Genomic DNA, 27,293 nt, shown 5'->3' with positions numbered 1-27,293 from the left:
GGCTAACTTTGTATTTTTAGTAGAGATGGGGTTTCTCCATGTTGGTCAGGTTGGTCTCCAACTCCCGACCCCAGGTGAACCGCCTGCCTTGGCCTCCCAAAGTGCTGGGATTACAGGTGTGAGCCACCGTGCCCCGCCAAGTTAAGGATCTTAAGAAGGAGAAAACGTCCTAGGTAATCCAGGTGGGCCCTAAATGTAATCACAGGAGTCTTTATAACAAGGAAGCAGAGGGAGATTTGACTACAAAAGAGGAGGTAGGAAATGTGATAATGGAAACAAGAGGCTGGAGTGATTGGAAGAAGGGGTCACAAGCTGAGGAATGTGGAAGCCTCCAGAAGCTGGAAAAGGCAAGGAAACTGTTTCTCCCCTAGAATATCCAGAAGGAACCAGCCCTACTGATGCCTTGACTCAAGCCCAGTAAAACTAGTGTTTGAACCTCTGGCCTCCAGAACTGTAACTGAATAAATTCATATTATTTTAAGCCACCAAGATTGTAGAAACTTGTTACAGAAGCCACGGGCAACTAAAACACCACGGACATTTTGAATTACCTCTTCAGAGCCGGATTTTATGCCATTTCCTCTGCAAAGCCTTCCCTTATTCCCTCATACAGGATAATGTCTCCTTATTCAGTTTCCTTGAAACATCTGTCCTACATTAGTAGGACATTATTTAAAAATCTACTATATTAGATTCTTTGAAACTTTATTATTATTATTATTATTATTATTATCATCATTTTTTGAGACAGAGTCTTGCTCTGTCGTCCAGGCTGGAGTGCAGTGGCACGATCTCGGCTCTCTCCAAGTTCCGCCTCCCAGGTTCACACCATTCTCCTGCCTCAGCCTCCCAAGTAGCTGGGGCTACAGGTGCCCGCCACCACGCCCGGCTAATTTTTTGTATTTTTAGTAGAGATGGGGTTTCACCATGTTAGCCAGGATGGTCTTGATCTCCTGACCTCGTGATCTGCCCGCCTCGGCCTCCCAAAGTGCTGGGATTACAGGCGTGAGCTACTGCACCTGGCCAAAACTTTATTATTTTTAAACAATTACAATTACACCAAAAGTTACATAAATAGTATCGTGTACCCTTCTCTCAGCTTCCTCCAATGTGACATCTTACATGACTATGATACAAAATCAAAACTGGAAAACTCGCGTTGGTACAATACTGCTAACTAGACTACACACCTTATTCAGTTGTCATTAACTATGTTGGGTTTTAATTATTTTTTACACTAGATTGTGAGTTCCTCAAAGTCTGGGATCACTTACCTCATTTGTCGTGATATTCGTAATGCCTAATGAACACTAGCATCTCAATAAATGTTTTACAATAAGTGAGATGAGAAGCATGGAGAGAAGACTGGAAAGGAGATGAGATGAGATAAACTCAAGCTTGTTTGTTCACATTATTTTAAAAATTACTGTTGTATCTTTGGGCTGGAAGCAGAATGAAAATGGAACAATAGTCTTGCATGACATTAAAATTTTAGTGATATTTCAATGCTTTACTCTGACTTCTAGGTATATATTTTCACATTTGGAAAACAACACATGAATTTGTATTACATGTACTGTACCTCATTCCAATTAAGAAGTTCTTTTAAACAATCATTTAATAGTTCGGATGTTAAAAACTTTTATTTTACCTAGCTAGTATTTTGGTTAGGATTTTCCAAAAAGAATAGCTAAAAAAATTATCTAGTATTTATTTTTCTTGCTGAGTTCCACCTCAAAAAAGTCCTATATTAATGAAAAGTTGTCTTACATGAGAAACTGAGAATACAGGGAAACATTTGAAAGGCTTATTGATGAAACTTGAGCAGTTGCATGTTCTTCCGTAGCCACAGTTTGAAAATGAAACATTTCTTTTCTATTTGGCAATTTAAAGTCGAATATATGTTTTATTTCCCAGCTAAGCTACATTTGTGCATTTAAATGATGTTAAATCATTCTATGAGACAGAAAAGTTCAGCCATAGGTCATCAAAGGTGAAGTTATCTGATCCTGGAAGGAACACCAGAGATGAGAGCTCGTGTGTCAAATCTGCTCTTCAGCTATTGCTGACCTTGTTCTATAGACCAACTTAGGGGACTTTAGGAAAAACAGAGGGAAGGGATGACAGTCACTATTTGCCTACTATGAACAGAGGTAATGTACATGATCTCTTTTAAACACATTGTAGATCATTATTAGCCCTAATTTTCAGATAAGAAAGTAGAATTCAGAGATTAAGCAATTTGTCCAAATCACAAAACTGTTACACGAAGAGCTGGGGTCTATCCCACTTTGACCTCTAACCTTATACTCTTTCTTCTGCAGTTGATGACTTTCTGCAAAAGCAGTGGCTTTCTACGTTGACTGAACAGTAGAATCACCTGGGTAGCTTCACAAACACCCAAAATGTAGGCAGCACCACTCTGGGAGTGGGGCCCAGGTATCTGTATATTTAAAACCTCTCCAGGTGATTCCAGTGTGCAGGAAAGTTTAAGAATGAAGGAGAGGCCTCAAAATGGAATAAATAGAAGGCATCCCAGATAGTCTGATTTGAGAAGCATAGAAGGGACCCCACGTCTAATAATAATCTCCCAAAGTGGACTTCTATGATGCCTAATATTCCTATCATCTTCATCATTTATTTGGGTAAAAGTATCTGTTCTCCAGAAGGCCACTGTTAAAATGCAAATAAGTCACTTAATAGGAGAAATGCATTAATATATGATTGTCCAAGCCCGGATTACATGATTGTGTCTTGGTCAACATTTTTAATCACCACCTTGGAGAAAGATGCACAAGGTTTGCTCATTAAATTTGCAGCTGACACAGACCTAGAAAAGCTAGCTCATTTGTTAGAATCTGAGATCAGACCTTCCCATCCTGTCTCCTCCCCCACAACAAAATTCTCTAGAGGCTGAAACACTGGATTCAAATGAAGAATTAATATAAAGTCTTGAGAATGCAGATTCAAAATATGAACAGCATAAAAACCTGATTTCAAAATAACTCATGTGGAAAAAATTCTAGAGATTTTAGTACACGTTAAGCAGTATATGGATCCAATAATATGACCTTGCTGATAAAAATGAGGATGAAATCTTAGGTTTCATAAATAGAGGTGTCACATTCAGCTCAAGGGGTGTGACTGTCCCTTGACCTGTAGACTATTTAAGTAATATTAGGGAAATTGTGTTTCCAAAGAGACTGAAAAACTAGATAGTGTCCAGATGAATGGTGGCAATCAGAATGCAGAAGAACCTGGAAACTACATCAACCGAGGAAAAAGCACAGCTGAGATGTCATTTTGTCTGTGGGACTTTCCCAGAATATCCCCATATACTTAACTAGAATAATTTCCTCCTTTTCAATGCATTGTTCTTGGTGCATTTTAATCTCACATAACATTATAGAATAGTTAGTGGTATGTTTATTTCCTGAAAAATTGTTATGCTCCTGAGGCCAATGACTGTGTTTTATTCGACTTTATTTTCCAACACCTTTTTCATGGTAGATATTACTGAATCACTCTTGTGACATCCTTTGCTGATTGGCTTTCATTTTCTTGAAATTCCCTAATTTAAATTTGCTAAAAGAAATATATTGCTTGGCATGAGCTAGGTAACAACCTCTCAGGGATGGGAATATCTGCGTAGGGTTGGCAGTTAGACTAGATCGTATTTATTTCTACTGAAGATTCCGTGATTCATAGATTCCTCTAATTCATGGTTGGTTTAACAGCTGGCAAGCAGAGAATACAGTTCTGAAGCGATGGGAGCAAAGGTGGTATATTTTCACTAGACCGTATAGTGAAATGAAGGGAGGGGAAGTTAAAGACCTGTGTAATTCACAAAGAGTATAAGTCTTGATGAAGGGCTAATCTGATATGGAAGCAGTGGGAAAATTAGTACATCAAAGAGGATGGCATGCAAAAAGAAAAAAAAATCCATTTTTTTTCTAATTTCTCAGGTTAAACCAGATATGACTATAAAAGATTTTCTGCATCTATTTACAATCCTATTCTTGTTCCATTCTTTTGTTCAAGTTTGGTTCATAGTTTCTCTTATAATGAAAAAAAAATCAAGTAAATTTTATGTGACTTCTGTGTCTGGCTCTGTTGGAATACCTAGGGATACTTCATGTATCTGTTGTATCACAAATCACCCCAAAACTTAGTGACATAAAAAAGCAACCATTTTATAATGCCCATAAACTCTGTGGATCAGGAATTCAGAAAAAACACAGTGGAAATGGCTCTTCTCTACTCCTTGACGTCTCCTTGAGCCTCAGCTAGGATTGCTCAAACAGCTGAAGAGCAAGAAGAGCTGAGGCTGAAGGACTGACTTCCATGATGCTTCTTCTCTTGTATATATGGAACTTGGAAGGGATCTCTAAAGAACAGGCTCAGATTGGACTGTTCACAAGACCACCTCTGTGGTCAATTCAGTATGGCAGTCTCCAAGTAGACTTTTAAGATGATGTTTTATGGCTTTAAGAGCAAGTGTTCCAGCAGCATAAAGCAGATGTTGAATGGCCATTTATGAATTCTGCTGTAATCCATTAGTTGAAGTAGTTCTAAGTCTGCCCAAACTTAAGGATAGGGGTCAAAGATCTCACCTCTCAAAAGGGATCAAAAAGGATTTACAACCATGTGTTACCACCACAGTAACAGACTAATACACTTTCTGAGAATGACCATAAAAATCAGATTAATTTTGTTTAAATAAGAAGAGGAGCCCATCAAGAAACTGCTGATGTAAATAATCTTGAAATGCTAAGATGCCAGTGAGAAGGAAATCACAGAGAGATTTTATAACCACTTTTTTTCTTCAGGGCATTTGTTGATTTTTGAATGGGAAGCCAAGAATTCACTCAGAGGGCCAGGACATACAGCTTCTGTTAAAAGGCAGAGAAGTCAGTGGAAAATTTGGCAATCTCACAGGGCTACAGAGCCAAAAATTAGAGTTTGGAACTGCCACAATAGCCAGAATTTGGTGATGGGGTGGGGGAGGTGGAGGCAAGATTCTGATTAGAAGAAAGAAGTAAGCCCAGATCTCTGCCTGTTTTCCCTTAAGACATTTGCTGGTTCTACAGAAAAGGAGAATAAGAATCATATAATAAAGCACGTGTTTCTACTTTCTCTTGGTTCTGGGAAGACAAAAAAAAAGTGACACTCGAGTACTTGGGACCCACTTTAGGGAGGGGGCCCTACTAGATACGTCAGAATATTGGTTGGAAAACCCTGAGGATGACAATCTAGGAGCATGGACAAACTAGATACATAATTTTGGAAAACTGGAATCCATCCTGGAATTAGCTCAGTGCCCATGTGGCTTAAAGGAGCCTGCTACCATTCTATTTGCTTACCGAAGGATAATATCAACTCTGTGTAGGATAATATGGCATTATTAAGTGCCTCTAATACTTATTTTAGCAATATATGGCTATTAGTAAAAAATATATCCCGGTATGTCAAAAAACAGAACCAAGAGAAAAAAATGACAACAGAAACAGACCTGCAGATGACACATTTCTTAGTGTTATTAGGGATAGACTTTAATGTAGTTGGACTTAATACATTCAAGAAAACAGGTGTTAATATGGAGAATTTCACTAGATACCTGGCCTTTATTTTGAAAACAAAATAGAAGTTATGGAATTAAGCCATAATAGCTGAAACTTGAAATTAAGACTCAATAGATGGGTTTACCAGCAAATCAGACATAGCAGAAAAGTTGATTACTAAATTGGAAGATAAATTGGTAGAAAATATCCAGGCCAAAGCACAGAGAGCTAAAATGATAGAAAATAGGAAAGATCATAGAGACATATGGGACATAGTGAAAAGCTCAGAGAAAAATAAAAAAAATTTTGAAAGGATAATCGTAAAAATTTCCCAAGACTGACAAATACATCGGCCACAAGAATCCCTATGAACTTCAAAAGAGCAACAGGCAAAAAACCCAACCAAGGAAACAAAGAAACAAAAAATATACACCAAACCACAGCAGAAAAATCTTCTCACCTAAGCTCAGAATAATAATGTTTCCGAAAGAAAATAAATAAGAAAACAAAAAAGCAGCCAGAGATTTTTTTAATGTATTGCTTTTAAAATAGAAACATTAAAATTTACAGTTGCCTTCTCAACAGAAATGATGGAAGTCAGAAGACAGTAAAACAAACTGAAAGAAAAATGTTAACGCAATTTTATATTTGGTAAAACTATTTTTAAAACTGAAGGTCAAATAATGATGTTTTTAGACAGGCAAAAATTGAGTGAACTCATCATTAGGAGACTGAAAGAAACACCAATGGACAGATGGAAAATGATCCTAGAAGGAGCTGTGAAAATATAAGAAGGAATGAAGAACTAAGTAAAGGTTAAATAGTTAGATAAATATAAATGACTATTGAACATACAAAACAATAAGTATGTCTTTGGGGGGCTTAAGATGCACAGAATTAAAATACGTAATAACAATAACAGAAAAGCCCAAAGTGAGTAAATGGAGATAAAGTATTCCAAAGCCCTTGTTTTATCTGTGAATGGCTAAAAATATTCATTTTTATATAAATCAAGGCTGTATGTTACTAAAAGAAGGTATAACTAACAAGGTTCTAACTAACTAAAGTATAACTAGCCTGCTTCAAGATATAGACTGCAAACATTGGATTTACCCAAAAGAAGTTAAGAAAGAGAAGGGGAAAGAAAATAACAAGTGAGACAAACAGTCAATAAATAAAGATAAACCCAAGAATCATATGTGTTTTAAATACTACAACTTAAAAACCAAAATGGTAAGACTAAACAGAATTAAATTCAACTATATACTTTTTAGACCTTAATTAAAAGGACACACCTACTTTGAATGGGAAACATAGAAAAATCAGGTAAAATAATATACAAATCAAGTGAAATAATAGCCTGAAAGGATTCAGAGACGATTTGCTGTCCATCATGCTGACTCTTTCATTTTATGTATCGGGATGCTGAGGCCCAGAGTGGCAGCAAGTCAGGTAGACTAAGGATTCTACAGGATTCTGACTCCTGGCTCTGTCATTTTCATCTAACACCATAAATGGGAATTGTCATACTTTCCATCGTGTCTCATTGATTCCCAAACCAGAATGCCATGTTAATCTGAGTAGAGCCCATTCATGCTGGACCAACTGTGTTTGAGGAAAACAGAATCCTAAGAATATCTTTCTGAAATGATTTCCTTTGTGGAATCTGTGAGAGACTTTTGATTTGCACAGTATGATTGATTTGTAATCTCTGCTGCCCAGCTCAGAGGATGGATGCATGGGCAGTGAGACATCCCTCTGCATGATTCATTTTTTTTTCCCTCATTCCCTTTTCACTTTCTTTCCCATTCAAGATTTATGACTGGGGAAAAGATAAAAGAAAACACAAATGCAAACCCTAAGCCAAGAGTGTTCCTGACTATATTTCAGCTCTCTTAACAAATTGCCTGATCAAGTTCACCCAGCTCAGTCAACAAATCAGATGAGAAATTTTAACCCATTGCCCACCAGTATCACGTTGGTGGGGAAGATGACATTTATTTGTCTAACATGACCATGTATTAAAATTAGATATGAATTGTAATACAAAAATAAAATGTTAGAACTAATTGTGGCAGGTGAGGTATTAGTGTGGTTATCCATTTGAAACAATGAGATCAAAGCTACCTTTATCTCCAAAGACAAAAATGATAGTGGCACAACTTAGAGCCCTGACTTGGGGTCTACTTTTGACTTGTCTGTCTCTTCTGCTTTTCCTGACAGACCTGAGCAGCAGCCTCAAGTTTTTCCCGGTGTCTGGGTTAATTAGAAATAGAGCAGGAAGTTTATACAGCCTGAGGCTTTAGAATTAGATTATATGGTCAATCAAGCTCATTAGCTGTCATAGCAGGGATAACCCAAGAAGTCTTTAAAGCCTCTGAGTTATAATATTTCCTCCTCCAAGACTACAGACTTAAGGACTTACAATTATACCCCTTTCCTTAGTCTTCCCCACTAATATAATAGCTAACATTTCTTAAACACTTACTATGAGCTCAGTATCTTATATGCTTCTTTCATTTAATCCTCATAACAACCCTATGAGGTAAGCACTGTTGTTACTACCACTTTACAGATGAGGACACTCATGTTCAAAGGGATTAAATAGTACCAAAGCCAGTCACCTAATCAGTGGCCAATATGGAGTTTGAATCCAATGGCCTACAGTCCTTAGCACCCCATCTGTCTCTAGGACAAAAACTCTGACTTGGATCTCATCTGACTGTCTGGGTCCCTGATAGCCTGCTAACCCCTTCTTAGACCCTCAGCCTGAGAGTGGAATCTTTCTGCATGCTCTACAATCTCAAGATCCAGGGAAGAATTCTGTCTTCATTGGCAGTTACAATTTCCTTCCTGAAAGTTTCAACTCTGGCCTCCCTCAAACAGTTCTCTCGCTGCTTCTAAGCTTACAATATCCTTTGGACACCGTGTTTCGAACTGTACAACTGCTTTTATGAGTACCAGCTGCCAAATCTCAACCAGCCTCTCCTGGTCAGTCCTGGCGCTTTTGCTGTTGTCAACAGAAACTTTGGCTTTCCCGTTCCCAGCATGCCTGGCTCCTGAGTGTGCACCCGCCATCGCCATCGCAGTCTGCGGACACATGCAGACTGTTTAACTGGAGCATATAATCATTTCATAGTAAACTCCTAATAAGGCGTTCCCAAGAGTATCAGCCTCTGTGACAGCTTGTCAGACACAAATTTCAGGCTGCCTTAGGCTGCCAGGTAGAATTATGAACTGTTGCTGTTTTCTCTGTTTTTCAGTTAGTTATCTTTTGCCATTCTAAATCATTTAAATGATTTGCGGATTTTATCTCAGCTTTTTTTCTTGATGATATATTCCTCCCCTCCTTTCATTATTATTTTTAAATAAAATTCCTCAGACTTAGCAGGAAAGGCCACTTGAAAGTAAAGTCTCACAAAACAAAATAAATGAGGAGCATAGATTTCCCTCTGTGACCATTTTGTCACTCTCTATGCATTAAGCAACTGTGCATTAAGCTTAATAACTTTGGACTAATGTTCAAAAGGGACAATGGAAGCCTTGGAAGTGACACTGTGAATACTGAAGTCCAAAGGGTAAAGAGAAAGTGATATCCTTCTTACGGCTGATGAGGGAGTGGCCTCATAAAAGGGAAATGAGGGTGTTAGTCTAGATGATCACTGGGGTCCCTTAAAGTTGTAAAATTCTAAGTGGTCAAGGGGGACAGCCCCAATATGATGGGTTAAAGTGTGAAGGTAATCACTAACACCATACTTGGCCCTAATAATTTGTCTACTTCTTATTGATCTGAATGGATATATTGCTGTTAATATCCCAGCAATAATTTGCAGAGGGTCCCTTGAAACTATGTTATAGATTTCAGTGCCATGTAAAGGTTCATGGTTATTTTCTGGCCTGTTACTGAGTCTAAAAAACTCATATCTCTTGAGACTCTTGGTTGGAAACCTTAGAAACCAACACTGGCTACTTAGCAAGAGGATTTATTGGAAGGAAGGGCAAGTCACAGAATCAATGGGAGGCTGGAGGACCTAGCATAGAAAATACACCAACATGAAGTGACTCTGGGGGCTGGAGAGGAAACTATGTCTTATCGAAGGAAATGTCTGGTCCTCAAGCCACACCTACTGCTGTGATGCACACAACCTCTGAACGTTCCCTCTGACTGAGTCACCAAACAGCCAAAGTTCTGAGAATAAGAATCACACTGGCACCTTGGTCACTGTTTCCCAGTTGTACCAGGGGCGCTGAAAAGGAATATGATCTCCTAGACTTCTATAGTGGGAGGTAGTAAGAACTGCCTTCCCATTAAATCAACATTCAAAGAGGACTTCCACCCAAAAAGAAATTGGGGAGGAGTATGATCAAATGCGAGACAGCCAAATGAAGATCAAATGTCTGCGACAATACTATATTACAATAGGGTGTACATCTACATATGTTACTATGTGGTATACCTAGTGTATTCAAAATATCATGAGCTTTAGGGTCAGATAGACTTTATTAAAAACCTAGCCCTGCCACTTTCTAGCTGTGTGACCAGGCTGATGTGTTTTTAGCTCTGGGATTCTCAGACAATTCTTTCTCCTTTTGTCCTTATAGGCTTAAGGACATGATTCATACAAAAGCTAGCACACAGTAGGTTTTTATTATTTTACTTTTCTTGGAGGAAGACATGCTCCTCATTTTGTATCTTAAATAGTGGCTAGCCAAGCAAAGCTTTTCTAAAAGACTTTGACAGAGAGTCTTTGAAATGAGGAAATGGAATGAAATGTAGTAATTAGTAGCATACAGATAGCCTGAGCCCTGTTCCACAAACAGGAAACCTGTACCAGGATCTGGGAGGGACACCTTTTCTCAGCGTTTATACCAAATGGTAAAGTATCCTTTGCCTTGATAATTGGATGTCTCTCCCTTCGATTGAGAAATTAGATCTCTTCCTCCTTTCGCCACCACCCATATATTTTACTTTATAATTTAGAATGCTGGAGTGTCTCTGAATTTTGCCAGTGCATTTGCTTAGAATTAATGCTATTATCATAAAGGGCCAAGTTTTTAAATTTATTTTCATGCTAAGTTAGCGGGAAAGATCAAAGTCCTTTCATCTTATGACTGAACTGCTCAAGCATCTAAAAATGCCTTCAGGACTTCAGATAGAAGCCACCACAGTACATGATACATTCTTTTTATAGACTTACAGGTCTGTGAGCCTTTTTTTTTTCCTTCTTGGCAACCTAATACAGCTAGCTACTGCATCATGTGGCAAATGAAACAAAGAGGTCTGCTTTCATTAGCCACACTTCCTTAACTAAAAATGCTCAGTCTACTGTGTGTAGTTTTTTTTTTTTTTTTCCCAGCAGAAAGATGATTCTGACCTGAGCTTTTTCAAAACAAAATTTTAGGGTCTTTAAGAAAATTATCCACTATTAACTTCAGTTAACTAAGAAAGAAATTGATATTTGTAACCGTATTTTAGAGCGTATATTAAAGCTTCTGATGTATATTGGTGAGCCGAGCCAATTTCATCAAATTCTCTCAGGCCTGCCGTCCTCCAAATCTAACTATGTAAGACATCCAAATATTAAAGAAAATCCCTGTCTTTTGGGAAGGGGTGTCTGGAATGTTCAAATAGAAAAAGTAAATATAACTTCATGGTTATTTTCTCTACAATTATATGTACAAATGTTTGGTTGTGAGCATGCTGTTTACCATAAAAACTGAAAGCAACCTAAATGTCCAGCGGTAGAGGGTTGAGTAGACAAAATATGGTCTATCTCTATAAAAGAAAACCTCATTATTAGTAATAAGGAAAAATGACATGGAAATTTCATTTCACTATAGGTAAAATAAAATTTAAAACAATACATTCAATATGATCTCAACTTTGTAAATACACAGAGACACAAACAGAAAAAAGACTAGGATGACATTCCAACCGCACAGTTATTTTTTCACTAAGTGATACAATTGTAGTTGGTTTTTATTTTTTTCCTTTTGTGTATCTGTATTTTCTAGAAGTACAGCAAAAAGAATTAAAAACAGTAAGTTATTTAATATAGCAACAAGATATGATTGATGTTATTTTGTTTTCAGACTCAACTCTCAAACTTACATCAGATATTAGCAGTGTTACTCACTTCTGGATAAAATATCAAAGTCGTGGAGCAAAGGGATGAATATGAGACTTACAAACCTTGGATGTGTTCTTTCCTTCTACTTAAAATTCTTTAACTCCATCCCTAATATGAATATTTGGCTAGATGGTGCTGACACACTTGCAGATATTTTTCTTTCTGAGTTAAGCTTCAATTAAATCCTTCATCATCCTGCCTAATGAATGTTTATATATTTGAATATGGCCACTACAGTTAGTAGTTAGTAACCCCAAACATCAACTTACTGAAAAAAAAATCCTGATGTATAATAATAAATTGTGTGGTTTTTTTTTTCCCGAACTCTAAAGTATTTATTCTAGTACTGAGAAAAAGTTTGAGTCTGTTTCTTCCAGGCCCCCTGCACTGGTGATTTGTTCCTGGCACAAGCACAGCCTTAAATCTTCACCCCGAAATTAGAATTCTTCTTCTGAAGTCTCACATACTGGTGAAGTGAATGGCTCTGGTGTCGGAATGCCTGGGTTTAAATTTTAGTTTCATCACCAGCTAACAAGCTGTGTGGCTTTGGGCAAGTTAGTTAACCTCTTTATGTTTCAGTTTCCTCCTCCATAATAGGGGAAAAATATTGGGGCTTACCCCATGAGGTTACAGTGAAGACTGCTTGAATTAATACACGTAGAATTTAAAACAGTGACACGTAGTAAGTGTTCTATAAATAAAAGGCATGCTGGCCATTTTCTCTTTGCCCTCCTTATCCCTTCATAAATCCATCCTCATACTTCTCTGTCTTGCTCGGGGCCCACAGAAACTGACCTCTATAGACTGCATTCCCCAACTTCCTCACCTCTGGCTTCCAGTTGGGTTTGCCAGTAGATTGTAGGGCTGGAAAAGACAGATGTTCCAGAATTTATTCCTCCTTGTCTCTGCTGCTCCCTTTAGGGATCGGGTAGTGGCTGCATTCTTCTATGGCTACAGTTGGGATGGCAACAGCTCCAGATAGGCAGCCCCTCTCTAGAGCACCCATTTTCATCATATTTCTCTAACGCCATTCCCTTCTCTTGTTTTTCCGGGCCCTGGGACAGTAACAGCTCCCAATTGTTGCTAATTCCTGGGTGCTTCACCATGCTTTGTTCGTTCCCTGAAGCCTGCCCATGTCTATTGAAATTGTTTCTTCATTAAATGTTCTCTAGTTAATACCTTTTGAGAGAGCCAAGTGCTTCCTGCTGGGACCCTGACTGATGCAACTGAACATTATTAATATATGTGTCCCTTTGCTCATAGCAGTATTGCAGCCATAAAAAATTGTTGAGCATAAAAGTGATCCTTTTATTGAACATGCAAGATACCAGACAACTTTCAGATTCTTCTGAATTATGAATGCCTCAGGTTTGCTAAACCAGCTGAGAATCACACTGGTGAAATCTGAAGGGTGGAACTTTTAGTTGCTGTTTTATTTGTGCACCAGGAAATCTGCTGCTTAGAAATCATACTAAGCTTTGGGTTCTTTTAAGATTCTTGTCTGCTTATGCACTGTCTTTTTTCAAAGTGTTCAAGAAAAATGCCTGGTTGTGATTTCTACTACATTTATACCAGGCGATAGTTTTCAGTCAATTAACTATTCATTCATTTATTCATCAAATATAAATTGAGGGCCTGCTCTGTGCCAGGGGAACACACTGCTGGGGAAAATATTGAAAGCAGAAAACAGATGCAAGGCACAGTCCTTGTGGAACTTAACTTTCTAATTAGGGGAAAAAATTTAATTCTCTGAATGAATGTAAACATACATACATACATACACACACACACACACACACACACACACACACGGTAAAATTATAGCTGTGACAGTGCCATGAAGGGAGGCACATGATACCAAAAGAGTCTTTAATAGAGAGATGTGATCTATCAGGAGATAAGAGAAGGCACTCTCAATACGGTGACATGAGATAAGACCTGAAGAATAACAAAGAGTTGATAAGGGAGAGAATTTCAGAAAGGGGAAAGAGCATGTGCCAAGGCCCTGTGGTGAGTGTGGGCTGTGGTGAGAACTGAAGGGATCAGTGTGGCCAGAGGGCAGGAAAGGGAATACATGATGAGGCTGAGGGGAAGCTGAAGGCTAACAGGATGGGGCCCTTAAAGACCATGTTCAGCAGTTTGTCTTATTTCTAAGAGCAATGGGACACCATTGGAGGATTTTTAAGCAGGGAATGATGTGACTGGGTTTTGAGTTTTTCAAAAATCATTTTGTCTCTACAGGAGTTGTTGTTCTAAACTCTAGGATTCCAGACCAAAAAAAAAAAGTTAAAATAAGAATAGAGAATATTCACTAGTTTCTTTGCAGGTGATTAGATAGGAACTAAAATAATTCATCCTAACCAAAAGGATTCTTCTCAAGGCCTCAGTAGTGACAGGTAATTTCAAGACGTGATCGTTATACGTGTCTGTTTCTAATCAATCCCTGATTCTACATTTCAGCAAGTCAACACTGCTACATATTTTTGTAACTTTCTGGTAATTTTCATGTCACAGCTGTCACTGGGCTCCCTGCTGGACCCAAGTACGCATAACTAATTAATCAATCAATCAAGGAGGAGGGAAAGTCATGTCTGATGCTACGATGAGGATCTTTGCTTGCTAAACTCAATGACTAGTTTAGGGTAGGATTAAAAAAAACAAGGAGGCCTTCTTAGGAGGCAGAATTTGCAGATTTAAAGATAATTCCTAAGGCTAATGATCTTGTAATTTAGAGTGTGTGCACTGTGGTTACCTGCTGGTTATTCCATACTATCAAGGGAAGCAAATCTATGGCTGGAACCCCCTTTGCTACCCCATCATCAATATGGAGGGAGGCAGGAGGCAGGGAAATGGAACAACAGGGAGAGGGAAGAATTCCTGGGTCAGGAGTCAGGAGTCTGGTTCTAGCTCACCCCCTAATCCACTATCTATATAAACTTGGGCAAACCATTTTAGCTCACAGGGCCTCATTTCTTCATCTGTGAAAATTAGTCCTATTGAAATTAAAGAGAGGAATCCATCAAGGGAAGCAGTCAGAACTTCAAGTATGGATGGACACAGGATGCCTCCAGACTTGAGTCCTTGGCACTCTGGATCCAGAAAGCTGACTCTGTTTACCCACAGCTGACCATGTTAATTAAAGCTTGCTGCTTTACCTTTTCAATAACCAGGAGGAATGGCAAAGAAGGTCTATCTTACGTGTTTTACTCGTCAGATTAGGTCTGATTCTTCTGCTCCAATGGACAAAGCCTAAAGCTCAGTGGTGCTTCCCAATAGAGGTGTATCATATAAAATATTTGCACACATGGGGCAGTGTACCTGCAGAACCAGCCTAATCTGGTTCAATTTTGTGTAATAAAATGGTGACTTGTTTTTCAGTTGCCATGGAACCCACGTTGCAAGTTATGTAACCTGAGCATACCCAGATGAGTGAAGTGCACAGCCACTGGCGGAACCTAGGTACTTGGACCAAGGAACAGGGATTGAGTTAAGACGTGAACACCACATGCTGGCGTGATCCATGATCCAATCAGATTGAGCCCTGGCATCACCCTCTGGTAAGATCCAGTCAGATCACACCTCCCAGCATCACTTCATTGCAGGATCCAATCAGACCATGCCTCACTACCCTCTACCTACAAAACCTGCCCCACCACCCAGCTCAGTAGGACAGATTTGGGTGTTGTCTCCTGTCTCCTTGCCAGTCAACCCACAACAAGCCTTTCTACAAAATCTTCGTGCTTTGGTGTTGGACTTTCTGTTGCACGTGGGCAAAGAGACCAAGTTTGGTTCAGAAACAGCAGCCATCTTCCATTTTAAGTCATGCATCCTGGAACACATGACCTCTAAGATCGTCACAATAAAGAAAGAGTAGATGGGGGAAGCACATCAGCTTTCAATTGCCTTTGCCCAAAAGTGACACACATCACTTCTACTCATTATACATTGGGTAGAACTAGCCATATGGCCTAGTGTTTGGTCCATGGGAAGTTGGGAATAGTAGAATAAATGAAATTTAGGTGAGCATGGTCACATGACAACTCCAATCAATTTGTAGAAAAATACCTGGATAGCTGGTGGAAAAGGTACTGAGTCTGATCCAAATTCAGCAAGGAAAAATGCCATGCACAGGCATAGGGCATGGTGGTATACTGTCTGGCAACACATTTCTCCTTCAGCCAGAATATACTTTTTATCTTTTTGATGTCTCTGAGAAGTGAAATTAGTCAAGAAGAGGTCATGTGATTGGTATAAATTAATGGGAAAGGACATTAGAAAGTCTTTGGGATATTTTAACCTGTCTATGAAAAACTAGTAAATGAGTAACTACTTGAGAGTTAGATGGAGTTCTTAACCTAGTATCCACAGACACTGAGAAGTCATCTATGGGGCTTCTGGTGGATCTAACTAGCAATATAGATTGTCTGCAGACCTGTGTATGCTTGTAAATATGCAAAGTTTCTGGCTACTGTGGTCACATATGGAGCTAGGAGTGCATATAACCCAAAGGAAATAACAGAGATGAGAGCAAACATTTTGCTCCCTGGAATCAGCATCCTTAGGTCTGCTCATCTTGGCTTAGGGAAGGAAGATTTACTTCAGCAACCGGATGCTGCCCACCTCATGATGCTGCCCACCTTCCCCAGCCCTGCCTACTTAACTCCCTGGACTTCATTCATTGCTCATCCAGATCTGTGGCACCAATTACATTTCACAGGAACAGCTGGTCTGCCAATCCTAGACACTCCAAAACAGTCTGTCCTATTATTGCCTCCATCTGACAAGACCCAGGAGAGAGGAAAAGAAACCTAGCTCTGATCTTGAGGGTATGTCCAGGGGTGTCAGTTTTCTCCACTGTAAAACTCATACATTGCACAGTGTGCTTTGTTTCCCAGATTTTTGGCATCCATTTCACTAGTGGTAAGTATTTTAATTTAAATAACAGGGCATGCAACCTGTGATTTCACAAAAACGCAAATAAAACAAAAAGCAGAGGAAGAAAAGAGATTAGAGGAAAAGTGCCTGAGTAAAGATTAATTTCTACCATTTATGTTTGTTAAAAATATGTGAGTATGTCTTGTACTAAGCACTTTCCATATCCGAGTTCACCTTTGCTGTGAAGGAGGAACAGTTACAAATGGAGAGACAGAGAAGGCAGAAGTTCAGTCACGAAGCCAGGATTTACATTCAGATGGGTCTGACATTATAGCCCATACTGCCTCCAAACCACACAGCTACACTGCCCCACAAAGCGCTGAGAGAAGATGACAGAAAAAAATCACAGAGAAAGCGAGTCAAAGTTGAAATGGGTGGGGGGGACAGGGGAACAGTGGGGCAGGACAGTGGTGGGGTTGGGGATTGGAAAAGAGAAAAAGTAAAACCTTCCTTGTGGCCCCAGTGGGTCGAATAGATTGAAAAAGCTTCTCAGCAAGGAGGTGTTTGAACGACACATTTCTCCTCGTATCTGAAGGGCAACAGGATGATGGATTTGTGAGTCTCTGAGAACCTGCACTGTGAGATGGAAAATGATCAGATGAGTTTAGCGCTTTGGAAAACAGACCAGAAGCTCCTGCCACTGGAGCCAGCAGCACAGGGAGGCCAGGCGGGCACTGCAACCAGTTGTCATAAAAAAAGATTTTCTGGAAAGCAAAACACTGAAGACAGACAAGGGTGGAGAAGGAAAGGCCCTACTACTAAGAATTCTAGTTCGTTCTCTTATAATAAATGTCCATGAGTGCATTTTTGACCTAAAAATTTCAGTCCTTGTCTCCACACATTCCCACTGGGGGTTGAAGACCCAGACTCTGGTGCCCGATGCTGTATCAGAAGAGTCTCCTTCGGAATGCAGAGGTTTCAACCTCCTTTCAGAAGAATTAGCCATGCTTTTAATTGCTTCAGACAATTTCGGGCGGTGATAGAAAAATATAGGCAGCTTATCAGAATGGAAAACTCCTTCTTGAAATTACAAAGAATTTTTTTTTCTCACAACAAGTTCCTTAACTCAAGAGAAAAAAAAAAGCTGAATGAAGTGACTTTAAAAGAAAAAGGAAAAGCAGTTCTTCTGAAACAGGGGGGTTGAGACACTCCGGTATTTCCAGCCAATGAAAAATGTGATATATGCCAGGCTTGTGTGATGCTAAGGCTAAGTGACTGCAAATTAATTGAAAAATATCCTGGATAACTTAAGTTGCAGGGAGCACATTAGGTCGCTTTGAAACAAAGGCAGAGAGAGTGCTTTTGTTTGGTTGCAGATGCAGGTGACCTTGCAAGAAGCACACTATAAATTGCTGTAATTGTGGGATGATAAGCCAGGTTGATAGATTTCTGTCACTCTCCCTCAGTAAAAAATGGGCTCACCTTCCTGAAGTCTACAGAGGCATATACATCAAGAAGCACATCATTGCTTCTGAGTTTCTGAGGCAAGACAGGTTTCTCTGTCCATTTACAAATATCCAGAAGGAGTATCCACATTTTGCCTATCCACAGGAATTCACGTTTATTGCAGCATCATTTTCGTATCTTTTTCTTGAAGTTTTATTCCATTTCTCTTTTATTTCTAAATGTGAATGTGGCTTTGGACAATAACGTCCTGGTGTGATTAGGAAACAGGGCAAGTAAGGGAAAACCCCCCAACAAGGGGCTTATTTCCCCTTCTTTGTTTTTTAGACCAAGTAAACACAACCAAAAGGGACAAAAAAAAGGGAAAGAGGATGCTTATTGATCACTTTGTAGGAGCAAACCGGAAAGACTTAAGGAGTCCTGCTGTGAAGTCTCTGCTGCTGCAACATAAAGTAGAGTGTTGTGGCTCAGGCAACCCTAGACTCTGCTGTCAATAGAAAGACCATGTTAGAATTTATAGCACATATTCTGTACTTTCTTTTGGAAACATTTCTGGTTTTTTTTTTTCTTTTCCATTCAGAAAATAGCATGCTGCAGGATAGAAACCCTTCTGCTGTTTCCTTGAGCCAGTGAGAAAAAAATTCGACAACATGGAAGCTCTTTTGTCTGAAAACCAAGGGTTATGATTTAGGGGTACACACTGATGCAGAATCCTTAGGAAATGAGCATGAGGCATAGTGTAGGAGTTAACAGGGTGGATTTTGGAATCATATAAACCCAGGGGTGAACCCCAGCTTGGCTGTGTAACCTGGGGTCTGTTATATGATTTCTCTAAGCCTCAGTGGCCCTGGGTGTCAAATAGAAGTGCTTTTACCTCGCTGACAGGGTTAAAATGAGGATTAGAGATGATATAGGAAAAGTGGCACAGTGCCTAGTGCATAGTAGGTCTAAAAAAATGGTGGTTTTCACTCTACAAAGGAGCACTTTAGTATATAGATGTGCTTCTAGCAGTATCTATCATGTCACATGAGAAAACAGCATAAAAATAGAAAAAGTACTCACTCAAATAAACGTAATATATATAGATTTTGGAGTCAGACATCTCCACAGAGGCTCCACACAAGATATGTGGCCACTGGAAAGTAGCTTAATCCCCTTGGGTCTCCTTTTTCTTATCTATATGTTAGAGATAATACATTTTTCATAGAGATATTGTGAGGAGCCAATGGTGTCTCTAAAAATAAACAAGTAAATAAATAAACATAATGTTTGGCACATAGTAAGCACTCAGTATATACTTGCTCTTATCCTCCTTTCCCACTGAAGAATAATAACAAGAAGAAGACTATGAAGAGTGTATTATTCAGAACCAATAAAATGTGTGTGTCTGGAGAGAGATATTTATTTTAAGGAATTGGCTCATGTGATTATAGAGGCTGGCAAGTCCAAAATCTGCTGTGGTCTGGCAGATTGGAGTCCCAGGATGAGCCGATGCTACAGTTCAAGTTCGAAGGCTGTCAAGTGGGAGACCCAGGGAAGAGCTGATGTTGCAGTTGAAGTCCAAAGGCAGCCTGCCACAGAATTCTCTCTTGCTCAGGGAGGTCAGTCTTTTGTTCTATTCAGGCCTTCAACTGATTGGATGAGGTCCATTCATACTATGAAGGGTAATCTACTTCATTCAAAATCTACCAGCTTAAATATAAACCTCATCCAAAAAACAAAAACAAAGAAAAACCTCAGAGAAACATCTAGAATAATGTTTGGCCAAATATCTGTGCTCTAAGACCCAGCCAAGCGGATGCATAAAATTAACCATCACACGTATCTTTAATCATTTCAGAGACTCCTTTTTGAAAACAAAGAGGGGCAACCAGCTGATTAAACCAGGTTTGAGAAATTAGAAATGGAATTGTTAATGGAGAAATTCCCTTCTTCTATTAGCCTTAGATCCTTGGGGTTAGAGCTGGGACACAGGATGGATGGTAGTGTATCCTGATTTTTGTAATGCAAAATTTCAGCATTTTGTTCCACCCCATGAAAGTTTCTATCCCCTTTGGACTAAAAGACGAATGTCTCTATCACTAAAGCAGTGTCCATCACTGACTTTGCTAACATAGTTCATGTTTGTTACTGCCCTTCCAACATGATTTCTACAACAAATAGTAAGAGAGATCTAATGTTACATGATTCTAGCTTAAAGATAAAGGAGAAATCTAATCTTCATGTGACATGGCATATTCTTCTAAATATGGGAAGCATTATGCACGGCATTTTCTGGTGTATTTTCTGTAACTGTATACTGCATTTCACATGCACCAATTGCTTTGGGACTGGCTATAAAATAGCTATGTAAGTTGTTTCTAAAGGCTGTATTCTGAAACACCTTTCTAAATGCTCCGCTTAATTTTTTTCCCACACTGTAATTCATTGGTGGCCTTTTCTACAATGAATTGTTGGAATTAACCAATAAATCAGCAGGAAAAGACATGCCAATTTCCTTCCCAGTTGATAAATTACAGTGTGGGCTTGGCATAATATGTTTTATTTTGTGAGTGTGTCTGTGTGTGTGTGTGTATGTGTGTGTATTCTCCCCTTCCCCCAATTTTCTTTTCAAGAAATTCTGAAATACTGGAGCTTCTATTTTGCTTGCCAATTTTAATGGGCAATATATAGTATATATTTCTATTATGTATTATAAACATCTGTAATCAAGGGGTGACAGTTATTGACAATTAGAAAATAGTATTATTCCAGGTTTGCTCAGATGCATTTGCCGTAAAAATGATTTGCTTTCCATTCTTATACCCAATTTGTTTATGTTCATCAGAATTTCTCTACCTCTCAGGCCTCAGTTTTCTTGGTAACTAACATGTTATTACTATATTTAAAGAGCAGTGTTTCCTATTAATCCACAGATCAGTAACTGTAAATAATGCTGTAATCCTCTTTCTTTAACAAAATATTAATGTAATAAAGATAATAACATTTCTTTAGGTTGAGAATGTTTAATCATCTATTCTCATGAAATATAAGTAATCAACCCTTTGCCCAGCTATATTACCATTAAGGCGCTCAGACAAATCTACTTATAAAATGACAATGCTGGTCAGTAATAGCAATAAAGGTAACTTAGTGTCCCTCTTGGGAAGCCATTCTACTATCTACACGTACAACGTGTTTCCTTTAGATTCATCTCTTTTTACTGCGTAGCGATATAAACAGAGAGGTCATTACGGATCCCCTGGCCAACCTGCCCTGAGAGCCCACCATCTACATGGTCTGGCTCACTTCTCTGAGGTAGAACCTCTCTCTTCTTAGATTCTTCACTGCATAAGGTAAAGTTCCTCATCGATCAAGTAAGAACACAAATATTTCAGATGGTTTTTGGGATGATTGATTGGAAAGTGACTTACTCAGTGCTGAGTGCAAAGTAGCCCTTTGGTAGGTGTGCATTCTTTGTTCTGCAAAGAAGTGGCAAAATCCTTAGAGAGAATGTTGGGAAATACTTAAACTAAAGGAGGAGAAAAAGAAAAAGTAGTTAACAAAACCCAAGACAATCAAGAAGAGACAGGGCCCAGGAGAGACAAGGCCGTGGAAGTCAAAGGAAGTTAATGTCCATGAAAATTTTATGACACAGTGTCTGAGAACAAACAGAGTCTAGGACAAGAGAAACTAAAATGTTCTTTCCTAACAGTGTTTTTAAAATAGTGTGTCCCTGTGCTCTGTCACCATTCAGGACCAGCATGTTAATACCAGGGCCAGGCCTTTTAAATAATTCAGTCTCCTGACAAGGAGCAAAATATGGAAGATGAGAGAGACCTGGCTTAATAGAAAAATCACATGAAAAAAAAAAAAGATCTAGGAGTTGCATTGAATGCAAGCTCCAGGTGAGGCACCCGTGTAAGATAGCAAAAAAAAAAAAAAAAAAAAAAAAAAGAAAAGAAAGATACAACATGAATTAATAGAGAAAGGACATCATTGGCAAGGGAGATTAAAGTGATGCACTAATAGATTAAATATGAAATGCTGTGGCCCACACTATGGATGAAACTCTTTAGGCAGGACTTGAACAATTAGACTGTGACCAAATGAAAGCAGCCAAAATAATGAGAATGTCCGAAAAACATGTTAATTGAGGAGAAGTTCCAGAAACAGAGAATGCTTCTTTAACCTGTATATCAACAAGAGTCTTAGCAGGAAACGGAATCCAGCTCAGATAGTTCAAGGGACTTTAATGAAGTGGCTGCTTACAAAGGTGTAGACAAGGTTAAGGGATTCATGGAGGAAGGACTATTGGACAGGAACCATAGTCACAAAAGGACATAAACACAACCAAAAATGTAGACACCAGTAAAGAGCAAGAAGGAAATTCCCTACCTCTTTTTCCTTCTGATTTCCAAGTTCCTCTTGGTCCTTCCTCGACCAAACCCACATGAGAATCAGGTGGCAAGAGAGCCTGTGTTTCTCTCTGTAAGGTTTAGCTTCCTGGAACCTATACTAGGGCGTACAAGGCAGAGAATGGACCATGGACTGTGTTCAGGAAGGGGAATCAATAGAGAAAATTCAGTACAACCTGGAAAATAAGAGACCTCAAATATTTGTAGGGCTGAACCATAGAACAACAGTTATTCACCGACAGTTATCATAGGGGAGCAGCATATTGGCTCAGTGTACTGAAGAGCATGCTTATGATACAACCTGCCTAACAAGGAAAGGCCTGCCACCTAAATTAGTAAGTTCCCTATTTTTGTGGAGTTGATCTGTAGTTGGATGGTTATTTGCTAGGGGGATTGTAGATGGAATTTCTGCTTAGGGTTCTTCAAATCCAGAGTTCATGAGCCTTTACTATTATTATTCATGAGCCTTTACTATTTCCATCTTTCTCCCAAGATCAACCTAGTGTTTCCTTAAATATTATAATTCCTGTTACCCTTTTTTTTTTCTAAGAATATAGCCATCTAAGCCTCTTAGATAGCTAAAAATGTGGGAATTGATATCTCATGTTGAACATTGGCTTAAACATTACAGATAATAGCAAATTCTGTTGCCCAAAGGTGAATTATTCTCCTTCTGGATTACCTATGACATTTGGCTGCCTTCCTCCATTGCTTTGCATATTTAATAGGCTGTTTTTTAAAATCACTGTCACCTTCCCAAGAAAGCTACACTAATTGTTCCCCTTGTTTTATGTCTGTCAGATAAGCAAACTTGCTTCTTGTTTCTGACTCCAGAAAATGCTTTCAGCCAATGTAATGTTAGAAGGAAAGAGCCAACATGTCCATGTGGTTTTATAGCAGAGGTACAGGAATTAGGAGAGAGGCATGGGCTCACATCCTGGATCTGCCACTAATTAGCTTTCTTAAATTATTCAAGTCACTTTAATTCTCCAGAACTCAAATGTATCATCTGTATAGTGAGGGGATTGAATTTGCTTATCCTGGAGGAAAAAGATTAAAGTCTAGGGTTCTAGCTCTATTTTAGAATCTCATACCTTATGAGAAGTTGGGTTTCCAATTCCCCAATCTCCTCACATTTGATCCCCTCTTGATTCAGGACTTGCTAAAACAAGACAATAAAACATCACTTAGTTTACTGTTCTTGTATTATCCTTGCTAATCCATCCCTTCAATTCACAGGGTGGATAATGGAAATTCTCTTTGTATCTCCGTAAACTCAATCTATTATTGAAAACTATTATTGAGAATTTATTTTAATTTGCAGCCGTTTGCCTTCTTAAGACAAAGGAATCTATCAGGACAACATATTGCCCACAATACAGGACCAAAAATCTTTTCCCTACCCTACCCTCCACCCAAGAAGGGCTTGAGTAACCTATAAAATAAAACCTAGTTTTTGGATCAGTACCACGACTACCTCTTCTACCCTAAAAGCATCACCAAACATGTGTTCAGATTTCCACAAAGCATAGAAACTTCTCTTGTTGAACTGAAGGTCACCTGTTTCACAAGCCATTGTTTGTCTTTGAAACCCAGTGGAAGAATGAGGATGAAACAATAAAGAGAAGCTCAAATAAGCTGTGGAGGGGGTATTTTTCAATGGAGATTAGGACGCATCAAACTGTCGTCACTATGTATTGAGACCAGAGTTAGTTCAAGAAATTTGAGCTAAGGAGCACATCTCTTTTCTTGACCTTCCCTCCAATACTGGGGGCTCCACCCCAGCATGGAAATCTTCCTGGGATGTTAATTTATTCCTCTTTTTAATCCAGCTTTATTAAAAAGTCCTTGATGTCTATCAGTGAGTTAATCTAATAAATCACACCTGTGAGCTTAATTAATGTTTATAAAATTCCTCAGGATCTTGGAACGAAAGGAGCTAAATGCTCAAATTGGAAAGTGTAACTATTATTATTGTGTGTGGTTTTTTTCCATTGAACCTAGCCCTCAGTTACATGGCATTGACGGTCCTGAGACTGAGATTCATTAATTTCAGCTGACTCTTAGGAGGACTTTGTGAGACTTCGCAAATGATCCTGGGAACACCTTATTTCAATTTCTGTAGAGTACATTATCTTTACTCATTAAAAAATTATCACAGTGATGGATTCTGTTTAATTTAAATTGACTTCTTTGTGGGGGGAAAAAGGCAATTAAAGTTAAGAAAATTTAAAAGGATTCCTAGGTGGGGGAAAGCATTTCAGTGGGACAATAAAATGGCAACTTGACACTCACACAACATAATTCTTGTTTTCTCTGATTAGAGAAAACACATTCTCTCTGAAGCTACTCTCTGAAGGCTTTTAGGCCAAATTGGTGAACTTGTGCTATGTGGAAACGGTTTTGTACCAACCGTTTAAAAATAACCAAAACAGATACTCACTTCTCAAAGTAGGAAATTAACGATAATGTCTCAAACTGATAAGCAAAAATAAGGTTTATTGTTTAGTGAGATGGAAATATCTTTAACATAAGAAATGAGGTGACCAACGAATAATACATGTTTATTTAAGACTGTCTTGGTTTTACCACCAACAGTCCCCCATCTCAGGAAACACTTCAGTTCTGGGGAAAAGGGAACTGCTGGTCACCTTTGAAATAGATACGAAGTTTAAAAGTAGTTTTTCAAATATTTTTGGAAGACAGAAATCTTAGTATGGCTTATTTGATTTAGGGTAGGTTTGACAGATAAAATGCAGGATACCTACTTAAATTTGAATTTCAGATAAAGAATCATTATTTAGTATAAGTACATTGTAAACATTGTCCCAACTATTGCATGGAACATGTTTATATTTAAAGGTATTTATTGTTTACCTGCAATTCAAATTTAACTGAGCATCTTGTATCTTTATTTGCCAAATCTGGCTACCCTAATTTAGGTTCCTCAAAAGAACCTAGAGGTGGGGAAAAGGACTAGAGCTTTTCTTTTTAAGCTTTTCAGTACTCTTTAAGTTTTAAATTATCTAAATGTATGGCTTTGACTTAAAATTTACAACTTAAATATAATACAATTTTAGCAGAGAAGAAGGAAGGTAGTTGTATATAGCAGGGAAAGTAACACTGGAGCAGGAAGGACAAGTGGCGAATGGGGGACGCAAAAAAAGACAGTAGGTTGAACATTATTTTGTCAAGCTGATTCAGATGAAGGAGAGAGCATCACCTTCTAGGGGGTCTGTTTTTTTCTGCCTTCCTCCTTTTCTTCTTTCTTCCTTATTCTTCTTGGGTTTCATTAACTTCATTTCTAGTCATTGATTATTTTCACCTGAGTTCTTCCTGTCTACTCAGGGTTTTTCTTTACTTTCTTTTTTTTTTTTTTTTTCTATCCTTCCACTTAAGCCACATTCTAACTTGACACTTTCAAATATTTTTCAGAAGGTAGAAATTTGGCATTGCTTATTTGATTGGACTAGGTGCCAGGTGAAATACAGGATGCCCAGTTAAATTTGAATTTCAGATAAAGAATAATTATTTAGTATAAATATGTTGCAAACATTGTCCCAACTATTGCATGGGACATGTTTATATTTTTAAAGTATTTGTTATTTTACTGAAATTCAAATTTAACTGGGCTTCCTGTAGTTTTATTTGCTAAATCTCGTAACCCTGGTTTAAGTGTCTCTCTCCCTCTCCCCACCCCAGATTATATTTAGGGTGGGGAAATGATCAGGGACTGGAATCTAGAAGTGTTGGATTTGTTATTTAACTTCCCTGAGCCTTGATTTTCACATTTGAAAAATGAGGGTGTAGATCTAGATGTTCTCTCCATTCATTTCCAACTCTAAAATGTATACATTAAACGTACCTTGTTTGAGAATGTTCTTGACATAGCCAAAAATACCTCATGAGTCACAGTTGAGAGATGCTGATCGGATCTGTCTCTTTCAAGAGAGTGATAGCAGACAGGTTGGGCAATTTCCACTCTGAGTCCTGTTTGTGGCCAGATTCTCTGAGGTAACGGAGAGATTCCTGAGTGTCTAGGAGTGCAAATCACATTTTATGACTGTTTCGGAATTCGGCAGCCAAGAGAATCTGAACTAGACTTAGAAGTTACGAGTATTTCCCATAGTGTCTGCGTGCAGAGGAAAGACAAATCGAGTATTACATGGCAGCGTCAGCCACAAGATATGCTGGATACATCATGTTTACTTCCAGAAACATGCACCCAGCTTCCATGGCCCAACAGAGATGACTCACCTCATGTGACTGGCTTTGGAGATTTCATATTTTAATACACTGAGCAATTTCCATGCATGAGTTGAATAACACCACTTCAGATTTATAGCTGGGAGGCGGTGCAATGCAGTAGCAAGTTCACAAGCTTTGAAGTCAGTCGGGGTGGAGTGCCAATCCTAATTCCACCCATACTACTATGTGACCTTCAGCAAGTCACTTTATCATTATGTGTAGCACATGGAATGGCTCAGGTTTAATGAGTGCTTACCATGTTCCAGTGCTACATGATTTTTTTGCTCACTTCAAAAACCCTTACCATGTCTCTAAAAGATAGGTAATATTATAAATTACAATTACAACATAATTTTCTCATATAGTTTTATATTTTCAATTATGAATGAAGAAACTCAAGAGAGGTATAAAATCTGGCCAAGGTCACATGGAATGGAGGAGTGAAGCCAGGACTTGAAATCAAGTCTTATCTGTCCAAAATTCACGTTCTTTCCATTGCACTCATTGTCTCACACCTATAAATTTTCTTTTTCCCATGAGGGTTTTCTATCTCTACATATTCATCTTTTCTGGTGGTGTTGTAAGTACTCAAGGATGTCGTATAAATAAAGCCGACA

The 27,293-nt window shown here is 38.6% G+C and overlaps 1 long non-coding RNA gene across 2 annotated transcripts in view; it reads right to left on the bottom strand.

Moving 5' to 3' along the window:
• The window catches only part of LOC101928338 (uncharacterized), a 74,787-nt gene that overhangs the window by 37,193 nt on the left and 10,301 nt on the right, over positions 1-27,293 (bottom strand). For both annotated transcript variants that reach the window (XR_007062640.1, XR_242862.5), the window contains exon 2: positions 26,294-26,465. This is a non-coding gene — a long non-coding RNA (uncharacterized LOC101928338). The remainder of the gene's footprint in view (positions 1-26,293; positions 26,466-27,293) is intronic.

The sequence above is a fragment of the Homo sapiens genome, chromosome 11 (genome assembly GCF_000001405.40).
Source record: "Homo sapiens chromosome 11, GRCh38.p14 Primary Assembly".
Lineage (NCBI taxonomy): Eukaryota > Metazoa > Chordata > Mammalia > Primates > Hominidae > Homo > Homo sapiens.
This window is presented reverse-complemented; position numbering and strand designations above follow the sequence as displayed.